The sequence below is a fragment of the Homo sapiens genome, chromosome 4, assembly GCF_000001405.40.
Source record: "Homo sapiens chromosome 4, GRCh38.p14 Primary Assembly".
In the NCBI taxonomy this organism is placed as follows: Eukaryota; Metazoa; Chordata; class Mammalia; order Primates; family Hominidae; genus Homo; species Homo sapiens.
This window is the reverse complement of record NC_000004.12, coordinates 166,080,495-166,094,442: the sequence shown is the minus strand read 5'-3', so window position 1 is coordinate 166,094,442 and position 13,948 is coordinate 166,080,495. Positions and strand designations below refer to the sequence as shown.

General features: G+C 35.4%; 1 protein-coding gene across 1 annotated transcript in view; it reads right to left on the bottom strand.

Annotated features, from left to right (window-relative positions):
• The window catches only part of TLL1 (tolloid like 1), a 231,221-nt gene that overhangs the window by 10,015 nt on the left and 207,258 nt on the right, over positions 1-13,948 (bottom strand). The window contains exon 19 of the mRNA NM_012464.5: positions 3,102-3,315. Coding sequence (NP_036596.3) covers positions 3,102-3,315 — 214 coding nt within the window. The remainder of the gene's footprint in view (positions 1-3,101; positions 3,316-13,948) is intronic.

Genomic DNA, 13,948 nt, shown 5'->3' with positions numbered 1-13,948 from the left:
TATATTTTGAAAAGATTTACTTAATATTTCTATAAAGAAGAATTCAATCTTCACCTAATAAGAATGACAGTTTTATATTCATTTTCTTCCTAATCCAAAAGTTTTACATGAGAAAGTATTACTATAGTAGCAAGTACACTATCTTTGGAGACAATCAGAATTAGAATAAAATCCAGGCTTTGACACTATTTTAGAAACTGCAAATTAATCACCCAGATTTTCACTGTCTTTGTCTGCAAAATGAGGATAATATCTATGTCATACAGTTCTTTTGAGGATTCAAATATCTATGTAAACTATGTGTGTATGCCTAAAATGCCCAGTGCATTCTCTACCATTGGATCACAATACATGACTGTAGGGAAAAGAAAGAGAGATCAGACTATTACTGTGTCTATGTAGAAAGGGAAGACATAAGAAATTCCATTTTGACCTGTACCTTGAACAATTGCTTTGCTGAGATGCTGTTAATTTGTAACTTTGCCCCAGCCACTTTGCCCCAGCCACTTTGCCCCATCTTTGAGCTCACAAAAACATATGTTGTATGGAATCAAGGTTTAAGGGATCTAGGGCTGTGCAGGACGTGCCTTGTTAACAAAATGTTTACAAGCAGTATGCTTGGTAAAAGTCATCGCCATTCTCTAGTCTCGATAAACCAGGGGCACAATGCACTGCGGAAAGCCGCAGGGACCTCTGCCTTGGAAAGCCGGGTATTGTCCAAGGTTTCTCCCCATGTGATAGTCTGAAATATGGCATCGTGGGATGAGAAAGGCCTGACCGTCCCCCAGCCCGACACCTGTAAAGGGTCTGTGCTGAGGTGGATTAGTAAAAGAGGAAAGCCTCTTGCAGTTCAGATAGAGGAAAGCCACTGTCTCCTGCCTGCCCCTGGGAACTGAATGTCTTGATATAAAACCCGATTGTACATTTGTTCAATTCTGAAATAAGAGAAAAACCGCCCTATGGCAGGAGGCGAGACATGTTGGCAGCAATGCTGCTTTGTTATTCTTTACTCCACTGAGATGTTTGGGCGGAGAGAAACATAAATCTGGCCTATGTGCACATCCAGGCATAGTACCTCCCCTTGAACTTAATTGTGACACAGATTCCTTTGCTCACAAGTTTTCTTGCTGACCTTCTCCCTATTATCACCCTGCTCTCCTAGCGCATTCCTCTTGCTGAGATAGTGAAAATAATAATCAATAAAAACTGAGAGAACTCAGAGACCAGTGCCAGTGCAGGTCCTTGGTGTGCTAAGTGCCGGTCTCCTGGGCCCACTATTATTTCTCTATACTTTGTCTCCGTGTCTTATTTCTTTTCTCAGTCTCTCGTCCCACCTGATGAGAAATACCCACAGGTGTGGAGAGGCAGGCCACCCCTTCACATGACCTCTATTAAGATAAAATTAGATCATCTCAATGGAATGTTAATCATAATGCAAACACCGCAAATGGCGTGCACGGGCAGAAGTCATGCAAATTAGGGAGTTATGGAGTTTTACTGCTGTAAGTAACCTTGGGAGTATTATTTTACAGATGAGAAAACTGAGATCTGAAGAAATGATCTTTTCAAAAGTTTCCTGCTAGTTAAGGGTTCACTTGTAGCAGGAACCCAGATGTACCAACACACTGGGACATAATGGAACCTCAGTTATCCCACTTACAAGGGGTAAAAAGAGACAGTATAAAAGTAAGTTTTTATAAAACTAAGAAAAAATACATAATCTTAAAATACTATATCATCAGCTATTTAAACAGTTTTGACAGTATATTTTCACACTACCTTCTTGGAACCTATGATGACGATATTTTCTAAAATCTGATGAACTCTGCGCTATCAGTGAAATATTGATTAAGTAATAGGATTTTATTTTTCCACCCCTTCATTAGGTGACAAGTTATAAGAAAAATATTCAAAGAGTAAATGTCAAATGTGTGGAAAATCTCTCATTAGCCTGACATTTCTCTGGTCCATGTAAGATTTTCCTCATGCCATAATATTTATATTTATATTAATCATAAGAAGCAATTAATTTGCATTATTGATAGAAGACCAATGATTACTATTATTAATCAGATTAGTATCCTGACAATATCTTTATCACAGACTTCAATATAAATCTAATGCTCATAATAAAATATACTAGAATGAAAAATAATGTTGGATAATGGAATAGTTAAAATTATGAATTACAAAATCAAGTGAAAGAATAAAAACAATCTGCAGAAATTCATGACAAAATTTCACTAAAATTATTTCATGGATGAATTTGTATTGTTTTTATACTGTGTTTTCCACCAAGGCAAATTTCTCCCGTGTATCAATCGTTTATGCATCAGCAATGCCACTAGGTGTCAGTATAAGCTAAATGACTAGCTAATATACATTTAACTGATATACTGTCTTAACTGAATGAAAAGGGCACATTCTCTAGATATTTTATGGAACATATAACTAAACTGTCTCCAAACTATAAGTAATGTTACTCTATATTTTTGTCTAAAATTTTTCATATTTTTCTAAATTAAATTCTATTTCTTTAAGATTTCCAGAGCAGTTAGTCGAAATCTGTAAGAGTAAATTAGAGAGTAGGATTAGGCAAAAGATCATGTTGCATACCAAATAAACAAAGGAAAAATAGAGGCTCTGTCAAATAGATCAGTCTTAAACTTATTTATAAAAATATATTAATGTAAAATCTAGCTAATCAGATAGGTTATTAGATAAAACACACATTTTTAATAACAAGCCATAGATTTCTATCTGTTAAATATAACATGTAAATCAAACTGCTAATGTTAATATGAAATACATTGTATAAATATTTAGGTACAGTTCTACTTAAACAAACTGCACTGTTCTACTTAAACAAACTGCACTGATCACAAATCAGACAGAAACTAGGGTTTTCCTAAAACTCAACAACTGCAAAGATCTTTAGGTAGGATGCTGTATGGTTCTGCAAATATTTCACAAAGTGCTTCAGTGAAATTTTATCTGCTATGCTTGGAGATTTATTTACAATCCTATTATTGAACCAAATTCACCAGAAGAAAAACCTGGATCTCAGTCAAAAAAGAGAAGCATGACTTGAATTTGCTGACCTGTAGAATGTGTAGCTTGAAAGCCTTTTCTTTGAACAGATGCATCAGAAACAAACCGAACAAACATTTTATTTCCAGTAGCCACAAGGGGATCTGGTATCTTGTTGCCACACAGTCGTCCAAGAATCGGTGACTTTTCTGTTTCTCCATCAAATACTTCTAAGTGGTCATAAGCACATTCTTGATGCTGCTCAATCTCAAATTCACTAAAGGCCTTTTTTAAAAAGAAGAAATAATTTTTTTAAAAAAAAACAAATCACTCAAAATGAGATAATTTTTGGGACAGAAATACATATCAATAAAATATGTTCAGGGCATACTAATAATTTAACACATTTACAGCATAATTAAGAAAGGTGAAATCAATAAAATATGTAATCTCTAAAAAGACACAATGAGGAAAACAATGTAATAACTTCATATGAAATTCCACTATTTGGCTATTAAAACCAATTCTACTATTGCAATTCAATCTCAGAATTTAAACAGAATATAAAAAATGGTATTTTATTCTGAATTTAATCCAAAGGATTCATCAGAAAATTTCAAACAATCATATTAAAAGATTGGGTCCTTCTGGGTTTGATAATCATAGAACCCGTTGAACATTATCCTACCCTTAGGCACTTAAACTAAACTCAATAAAGTATTATTATATTTTTACAAAACTTAAATGCAACAAATCTTCATAGCATAAATGAAAGGAGAATAATTTTCACTATATATTTGTTTATTTAGCTCTTACAAACCATATCATTAGCAAACACTGATAATACTTAATGCTAGAATATTTTTAATTTACTTTTCATGTAGATGGTACACTTATTTTAATATTGGACATCTTGGAGAGTTTGAATGCTTTGCTCTTATTTATGACATTTAAAAACTATTCTAATTTACCTGTGTTGTAATTTTCATCTGTGTGACTTAGCACATTTAAAATAAAAAATAATTAAATGTATAACACACTACAGATCACAAAGCAAAGTTTAATTGAGATGGACTGAAAATAATATTGTCCAAGCTATTAATAATTACATAAATTACAGGTTATTTGCCATTGCCAAAGGCTCTTTCCTTTCCCCAGAAAAACCATCATACATTGAAGAAATAAAGCCGCCATTCCTACTTAAGTCTATAGAAGAAAACTAAAATATTATAAAGCAAATAAACATGAAAAAGTATGAAATATATTTCAAACTTTGTTAATTTGCTATAATCCCTCCAACAAAATATTGGCACATAAATTTTAATATACTTATTTTCTTTGATACAGTTTTACTGAAGTGATCATAATGTTCAGTCTAATTGAAGACATACAAAACAAAAGAGACTAAAAATTGCTCTGTCTCAGTGTGAATCCACTGTCTATTCCATACCACACTACATCACCCACTATCACTTCTGACTTCGGAGGAGTGAGGAAAGAAATGAAATAAACAATTCATATTAACTAGGGAGTAGAAGAAAGGAATGGAGTTACTTAACGGAAGAAAGAAAAGGGGGAAAAAAAGCTGATCTCTCTTTTGTCTCTTTCCACTGCACTCTACTTAAAAAGTAGAAATAAAAAAAATTATAACCAATAAGCATTAGAGTAATTGTTTGTTATAATCATTATGGATGAAAAGGAAGGCTTACTTCATTTGATCAAAGATACTGGCTAGTACAAAAAGACTGAACATACCACAAAGAATCTCACTGGAAAGAGAAGACAGCGTAGGGAAATACAGTGAACAAGGAGACATCAGTAGAGTCTATTTATCCTGAAGCACAACATGCAAAGCAGGTGATAACTGAAGGAATGTGTCACTTGTTAATCTCTGTAACCCAGTGGAGTACACACATTGCGTAGGATGCAGAAGATTCTGAATAAGTATATGGATGTTTGCATAAACCTGTCAATGTATTTACCCAAAAACCTAGCTGACGTTTATGGCCAACCTCAAGTATGAAAATTCTACAGACAGGGCCTACTAAATCTCATTTTCTGCCTCTCATGAAATAGCAGTCTGCTTCTATTACCATTGTGTACATATATACACTCCTAACATCAGTTTGTAATTGATAGGAAACCACTATGAGAAAATTGGCTTAACCGCACCTAGAGTTCTTTACTAAATATGAAACTAAGCTTCTGAATTATAAATATAATGTTATTTCAAGAGGAAAAACATTGGTTCAGGAAAAGAATATCTGAAAACCACTGCATGTTGAGCAAGTATCTCTTTTGATTGTGATTTAAAGTCACTAATCTGTAAATATAAAGAGCAAAGAACCAGGGAAACCTGCTGCATAGAAGAGAGTATTTTAAGAAAGTTGGAGGTAGTGGCATTCTAAAGTATTTGCTATAAGTAATGGCTAAAGCTGGAATCAGAGTTTACAGACCACACATGTTCAGTCCGTTGATTGGTCCATTGAAGACTGAATGAATGAGATAAATAGGTGACTATTTTTCTTCCTAATGAAACGCAGGACGTCTGGCCTAAATCATAACATCTGCTTAACAGAACGGAGCAACACCACACAAAGTAGCATTGAGCTGGTGTGCTGGGGGCCATACTGACAGCTGGTCTGGTGCCAACTGGCTACAGCTCTTTATCAAATTACTGGTGGAATCAGACTGAGTCTGTAAGAGTCATATTAGTCAAAGGTTCCATAGCTGACATATACTCTAGTAATGCAGACAACTCTCATTCATTAAGGTATTAATGAATTTTCTTTTTGGAATAGGTAGCAACTTGTTAGGTCAAATGCCAAGGCTGGGTGGTCCTTTTCCAGAAATCAGCCTGAACTAAAAGCTCCACCACACACAAGCAAAGGTGTGACTAATTCACAGGCTGAGATCTCGGAAGTCTGTCCCTTGTATAGTAAAGATACCCACACAGAGAACCTTCCATACACAGTGACTTTACATCAACAGAAAATATTTCCAGGCCATAGAAATGTATTATAGGAACTCTTCGGAAAGGAAAAACTTCTAAAATATTTTTCAGAGTTCATGATGACAAGGTGTGATATGCCATTTATCACTTTATTCTACAACACAAGCTGAACCATGAATCTCAATATCTAAATAATAAAGAATGTGCACATTTCCAACCACCAGGAACCAATGCCGCAGAAATGTCCCCAGAAGACACTTAGTTTCCCGAAAAGTCTTGGAAGTTCACAATGGAGACAGGATAGCCAGCAAGGCTGAATGTATAAAGCTGTAAGGAACTTGGATTTCCACTCAAGCACTATCTTCCTTTGGTAGACTTAAATATTTTTCTTAAGTGTTTAAGACTTTATAAGTATTTGGGTATTAAAAAACTTTAAAGCATACTCATTCCATGATTATATTTCTATAATTTCAGGGTTACTAATCTGGGTTTTAGAAAGGCCAAAAATAAAGTGAATAACCATGGGCCCTAGTCAGAAATCCTAATGCATTTCCCACAAGACAAGCAAGCTAAGAGATTAAGGAGTCCAATTCAAAAGAAATAAAATTGAACTCTCGTTATAGGCTGTGGAAATAATAACTTTATTTCTGGAACACCCAAGCAAGCCTAATCTACCTGGCTGGCCCCTGGCCAGGCTTCCAGACGCTGTTCTCTCATATGAACATCTGTAGAGGTTCTTTTATTGAACATACAGGCAATAGCTAAAGAATGAGGCCTTACAGAGTAACTGCATATATTCACAAAGGACAAGATAGTAAAATGATAGCACTTAATGCAGAAATAAAATTTAGCAAGGGTGAACATTTAAACTAAAAGAAGTAAAGAGACTGATGCAATTTGAGCAACTGTAAGATAAGCTTTAGAGGTCCCCAGTCCCAGCCATCTTTCACCTTATCCTGTTTTTGGTAAAAGCTGGCATTTGGTTTCCCACAAAATATTTGAAGGATTAGAGGCCACTGGAAAAAAATGGCGTCATGGAGTACAAACCTCAGTCTCCTGATTCAAAAGAACCTTTTTTCTCCATGAGTCCTCTATAACTGTGATCAAATATATTTTTATGGATTTATGATGGATAATTATTTAACAGTTGTAGATGTTTTTGTTTTTTAAATATCCCATATATAAAGCTATAACTTGTAACTGTATGTTATATAGCAGAACTCCAAAACTCAAGGATATGATAAATCAACTAAAAATGATAGAAGCACATTAGCTTATTGAAGTATGCTTGGATGCCTAGAACTTTGTTTGTTTGTATTTTGTTTTGAATGAACATTAATTCAAAAGGTAAAAAGGTACCCTCAAATTTAATGATCAGAGTCTTTCAGAACCAAGACAGGATAAAAACAGGGATAACAGATACTTGTACTTACACATTTAGAACTTTGTCCCTTTTCTAGCAAGAAGACTTTTTTTTCCCCAAGCATCTTTTGACTGCAATTTCTTTGTATTTTAAAGCTATAATCATGCAGTCAGTACCTCATGCTTAAATAAACACACACACGCATAATAAAAACAAAGCAAATGTGTTTTTTGTGTGTCTTGGCTGTAGCAGACTGCCAAACATTTAATGCCTTAAAACAACACAAATTTATTCTTCTACAGCTGTGGAGGTCAGTAGTCTAAATTGGGAAGGCAAGGTTGTGTGTTTCTAGTCTAATTCTCCTCCCTTTGAATCCTGGCCAGACTTAGCGATTTGCTTTACCAACAGAATGTTCCGAAAGTTACATTCAAGGGCTTCTGAGGCTTCCATGGCCTCTTGGGACACTTTGGGGATCCAGGATTGACAGAAAAGAGTCTGGTTCCTTTGAGACCGCCATGTTGCAACGGTCATGTGTAGGTGCTATGGTTGTCCCAGCTGAGTCAGCCTTTTAGCCCTCCACATCAAGATGACAGACATACAATTGCAACCACCTTGACCCTTTACATATGCTCCCAGGTGAATCAATCAATGTCACATGCAACAGAAAAGTTACCAGCAAAGTACTACTTAAATACTGATGCCACTCCCTCATACTATGAGATATAACAGTGCTCATTTTAAGCCATGAGGTTTTGGGATAATTTGCTATGCAGCAGTAGATAACTAGAACAGTCCATAAAAGGTAATAACTGCATTATAATGCCTAAGTCTCGATAAAAATCTATAATAAACTGACTCTGATAGTTCAGTTCTCATATTAATGTACAGTAATATATATTATATTTAAATAATCATACTGTAAAGTGAATATACATACGGTGAATGAACACCATGCACACAAATGCTCCTATCTCACAAAGGGCACATAGGAATTTTATTGTAATTCCTATTATCTATAACTGCTAGATCATCTAAATATCTTTTTGAGCTTATAGTCTTATAACCCAAATTAACCAAAATAATTGTTATCTCAGACACAGTGAAAGAAAGCTTGTTTATACCTATCAGCCACTACCTACATGTCACTCGGTGAAACCATATATCAAATTAGAGAACAATTTGGATTAGAAAGTACAGTAGGCTTTCAAAATTCATAAACTACGATTTAAAAAATTGTCTCATAAAATTGTCTTCAGTGACAATTTTCTTTTCCTTGCTTCTAAACTGAATAGGGAACATGTAGAAATCTTGTGCTATCCTTATACCAAAACCAGACAATTACCCAACAACAGCAACAAAAAACCTGAAGACCAGTATCACTAATGAACATAGATGAAAAGCCTTCAACAAAATACTAGCAAACAGAATTCAACAGCACATTGAAAAGATCATTCACTATGATAAAGTGGGATTCATCCCAAGGATGCAAGGATGGTTCAACATACACAGATCTATAAATGTGATGCACGACATTAACAGAATGAAGGACAAAAATGATCTGATCATATTAATAGAAAAAAGCATTTGGCAAATTCAACATCCTTTCATGATAAAAAAAAAACCTCTCAACAAATTAGGCATATAAAGAATGTGCAACAACACAATAAAGACTATGTATGACAAACTCACAGCTAACATTATAGTCAACCGAGAAAAGCTGAAAGCTTTTCCTCTAAGATCTGAAATAAGACAAGGATGCCCACTCTCACCACTTCTATTCAGTATAGTACCGGAGGTCCTAGACAGAACAATTAGGCCATAGAAAGAAAAGGCATCCAAATTGAAAAAAAAAAAAAGTTAAATTATCCCTGTTTGCAGAAGACACAATCTCATGCGGAGAAAACTCTGAAGACTCCACCAGAAACCTATTAGAAAGTAATAAATAAATTCAGTAAAGTTGCAAGATATAAAATCAATAGGCAAAAATCAGTAGCATTCTTATTTACTAGCAATAAACTATCTGAAAAAGAAATCAATAAAACAATACCATTTACAACAGCTCCAAAAATTAAAATACTTTGAAATAAATTTAACCCAGTAAGTGGAAATCTCTACACTGAAAACTATAAAACATTGATGAAAGAAAACACAAATAACATTTTTTCACAGGAATAGAAAAAAAAACACTAAAATGTGTATGGAACCATAAAAAGACTGCATAGCCAAAGCAATCTTGAACAAAACAAAAACCTAAGAACAAAAAAACCAAAGTTAGAATCATCCTAATACCTGATATCAAAATACACTACAAAGCTATTGTAACCGAAACAGCGTAATACTGGCATAAAAACAGGCACATAAACTGATAAAACAGAATAGTGAGTCCAGAAATAAATCCACACATTTACAGCCAACTGATTTTTGACAAAGATGCCAAGAACACACAATAGGGAAAGGACAGTCTCCTCTAATGGCATTGGGAAAACTGGATATCCACATGCAGAAGAATAACATTAGACCCATATGTCACGCCATATTGAAAAACCAATTCTAAATGAATTAAAGACGTAAATATAAGATTCAAAACTATGAAACTACTAGAGGAAAACATAGGGAAAAGTTCCATGACATTGGTCTGGGCAATGACTTTTTGGATTTCACTCCAAAAACACAGACGATGAAAGCAAAAATAGACAAATGAGATTACATCAAACTAAAAAGCTTCTGTACAGGAAAGGGAGCAATCAACAGAGTGGAAAGACAACCTACAGAATAGGAGAAAATATTTATGAACCATACATCTGATACCAGGCTAATATCCAAAATATAAAAGGAACTCAAACAACTCAATAACAAGGAAACGAATAAACTTATTTATGGGCAAAGGACTTGAATAGACATTTCTCAAAAGAAAAGACACAAATAACCAACAGGTATTTGAAAAAATGCTCAACATCACTAACCATCCAGAAAATGCAAATCAAAACCAAAATGAGATATCACCCCACGCCTGCTAGAATGACTATTATCATAAACACAAAAGATAACGAGTGTTGGTGAGGATGTGGAGAAAAGGGAATCCTTGCATACTGTTGTTGGGAATGTAAATTAGTACAGCCATCAGAAAAAAGTATGGAGTCTCCTCGAAAAGTTAAAAATAGAATTACTCTATGGTCCAGCAATTTCACTACTGGGTATATATCAAAAAGAAATGAAATCAGGATGTTGAAGGAATGTCTGTTGCTCCCATGTTCACTGCAGCACTATTCACAATAGCCAAGATACGGAATGAACCTAAGTGTCCATCAGTGGATGAACGGATTACAAAATGTGGTATATATACACAGTGGAGGAATATTCAGCCACAAAATGAAGGAAATCTTGTCATTTGTAACAACATGGGTGAAACCGCAGGACATTATGTTAAATAAAGCAAGCCAGGCACAGAAAGATAAATACTACATGGTCACACTTACATGTGGAATCTAAAATGATCAAACTTAAAGAAGCAGAGAGTTGAATGGTGTTGACCAAAGGCTAGGGTGGTTGAGATGGGAAAGGGTTGAGTAGATGTCAGTCAAAAAATACAAAATTTCAGTTAGATGGAAGGAATAAATTCAATAGAACTATCATACAACATGGTGACTTATAGTTAATAATATACTCTTAAAAATGCTAAGATAGTGGATGTTAAGTGTTTTTTCCCCACAAATATGATCAAAACATGAATAATACATATATTAATTAGCTAAATTTAGTCATTAAACAATGTACATATACTTCAATATATCACATTGTACATGGTAAATACATGCAATTTTATCTGTCAATGAGAACATAAATTTAAAAAAGAAAAAAAATTCTTTCTTTCTTATTTTCCCACCCTGCCTAAAGAAAAAGGGGTATCAATCCATGAACTGTGAAGAAAGTTCCACTGTATACATAGGGACCCAAGTGTTTTATTTGCCTTTCATCGCTGCCCTTGCCCATAATGAAGCCAGTTGGTAACCAAGTATCTATCAGGAGTTCTTGACCTAAGAAGATTAAAATATTTCATAATTTCTCAAGTTTCATTGAAACTGTTTTCTAAATTACAGTTTTGGTTGAAATTCTTCCACCTAGCAGGGCACGGTGGCTCACTCCTGTAATCCCAGCATTTTGGGAGGTTGAGGCAGGCAGATCACCTGAGGTCAGGAGTTCGAGACCAGCCTGGCCAACATAGCAAAACGCTGACTCTACAAAAATACAAAAATTAGCCAGGGGTGGTGGCAGGCGCCTGTAATTCCAGCTACTCGGGAGGCTGAGGCAGGAGAATTGCTTGAATCTGGGAGTTAGAGGTTGCAGTGAGCTGAGATTGCGCCATTGCTCTCCAGCCTGGGTGACAGAGCGAGACTCCACCTCCAAAAAAACAAACGAAACAAAACAAAAACAAAAAAGTTAAAGATCCTAAAGAAATCAGGCAAAATGCTTTTATTTTGCGCATTGTAACATCTTGATGAAATTTCCTGTATTATAAATGTCAAAGTACACGAGTAGATGATTGAATGGTTTGAACTGTTATTATAAAGTATTGTTCACTAAATGACTATTGGCTGATATACGCAATAATAGTGATTTCAGTTTTAAAGTAGATAACACTAGATAACAGTTACATTACATGCAGAAAGTCAATCGGGGAAACACAAGCAATTATAATGTCAAAATGGCAAGAGTTAAAAAATATAGAACAAAAATGTTACTTGGAGTTGGTGGCTAATCCTTTGTGACACACTTTCTACTAACCCTGGCTCTTAGGATGATATTGAGAGTCAGGTTTTATATGAATATGATCCATGGGATAGGATGGTAGGAGTCAATATTATGCTCTGAATCAGAAGTTCTGGTGTGGCAGCAATGCGTCTTTTCACAAGCCTTCCAGGTAATTCTGACACATGCTAGCATTTGAAAAAACCTGGCTTACACTGTACTTACTTCCACAAAAAACACAAACTCCAATTCCTAAAATAAAGTTTAATACTGTGTGAAAGCTCTCATTTTGCTTCTGAATATTACCTTCTTAGGATACCAGCAGGTATGACCATTGTTGAACAGACATGCTTTATGTCCTAATTCTCAAGTCGAATATTGGCAAGAAAAATAAATCCTGCAATGTGTGAAGGAACAGATTGCCCTAGAGTTAGATGGGATGTTTCAAGCTGAAAGATATATAATTGAGAATGGATTGAGTATTGCTATTTTTAAAACCGGGGTATATCAGGAGTTCTACTTCCCCTTGGATATAGAAAGCTGGAACTAGTTTTGCTTCTACCCTGACAACAAGAAAAAGCCATGATGTAGAGTGTAAAAAAAAAAAAATAACAACTTTGATTGAACACATCAATGTATGGAAATCACAGTAGTCTGAAGTCTACTGAATGTCAGGTCCTTCCAAGGAAAGATGTGATAGTGGCAGACTACAAGAGGAAGAGATGTTGGTATCATACAGCCAGGTGAAAAGCATTCTGATAAAATTGGTGATGGGTTGGTGAAGGTCATGTGTGGATGAGGAGAAGAGGATAGAACTAACGGAAACTGCAGATACGAGGGGAGCTTGCACACACTTACAGATCCTTTTCCATGGACCTCCATCTCCTGCTCACAAGAACATTTGTGGAAAAAGCAGGAGGTGCATGAGTGCCTTCCTTGGTGTTTCAGGCTTGAGAAAGGGAAGTGGTCACTGCCATGAGAAAAGTCTGAAGCCTCATTGTAATCCTTCTTCAGAAAACACAGCTGTAAGCCTCTGAAGGAGAAGCAGAAAACCCTGCCACCCCTACGACAAAGGTACAGACCCACTGGAGGCAGAGGAAATGTTAAAACAAAACAGACAAAACAAAATAAAACCAAAAACAAAACCTACTACCCCTAGGGGAAGTCCTGGATTCAGGATCAAATGCCAGTAATATTAGAGATCTTCTACCACTAGGAGACTGAAAAGAAACTCTCTCCCATGGAAGACTCATAAGATATATAGACAGAGTTTCACTGCCATGAAGAGAAGAAATAGGATCACTGAGAAAGCTCAACACCAAGACCTGAACATGCAGGGCCTGCCTAAGGTGGAGTCTGTACTGAAATAATAAAGAACCCCTCGCCTTCACCACCAGACTAACAAGCACCAAGTAACAAGCAACTGCCACCTACCACTGATAAAGACAAAAAAGGGTGGAGAGGAACAATATTTGCACTGGGGATGAACAGAGAAGGTAAGGGTAAAATAGAAGCATTGAGAAAACACCTCTTAAATCCCAGCCTCCACCCTAAGAAAAAGGAATTTGAAGCCAGTGGTGCAATGAAGATAATAATAGGGCAAGAAAACCCAATCTTGGCTTAATTCCTGATTAGATCCACCTAACACCCTCCTTCATACACATAAATACACTAATAACCTAACACAAGAGATGCATCCGTTTCCAGACATAAAGTCTCTATTATTGCATACATAATGTCTTATTTTAATAAAAAAAGAGACACAAAAAGGCAAGAAAAATAAAAACAACACTGCTAAGAGACAAAACAATCAACAGAACAGACTCGAGCACATGGCCCCTATGTTTATATCAAAT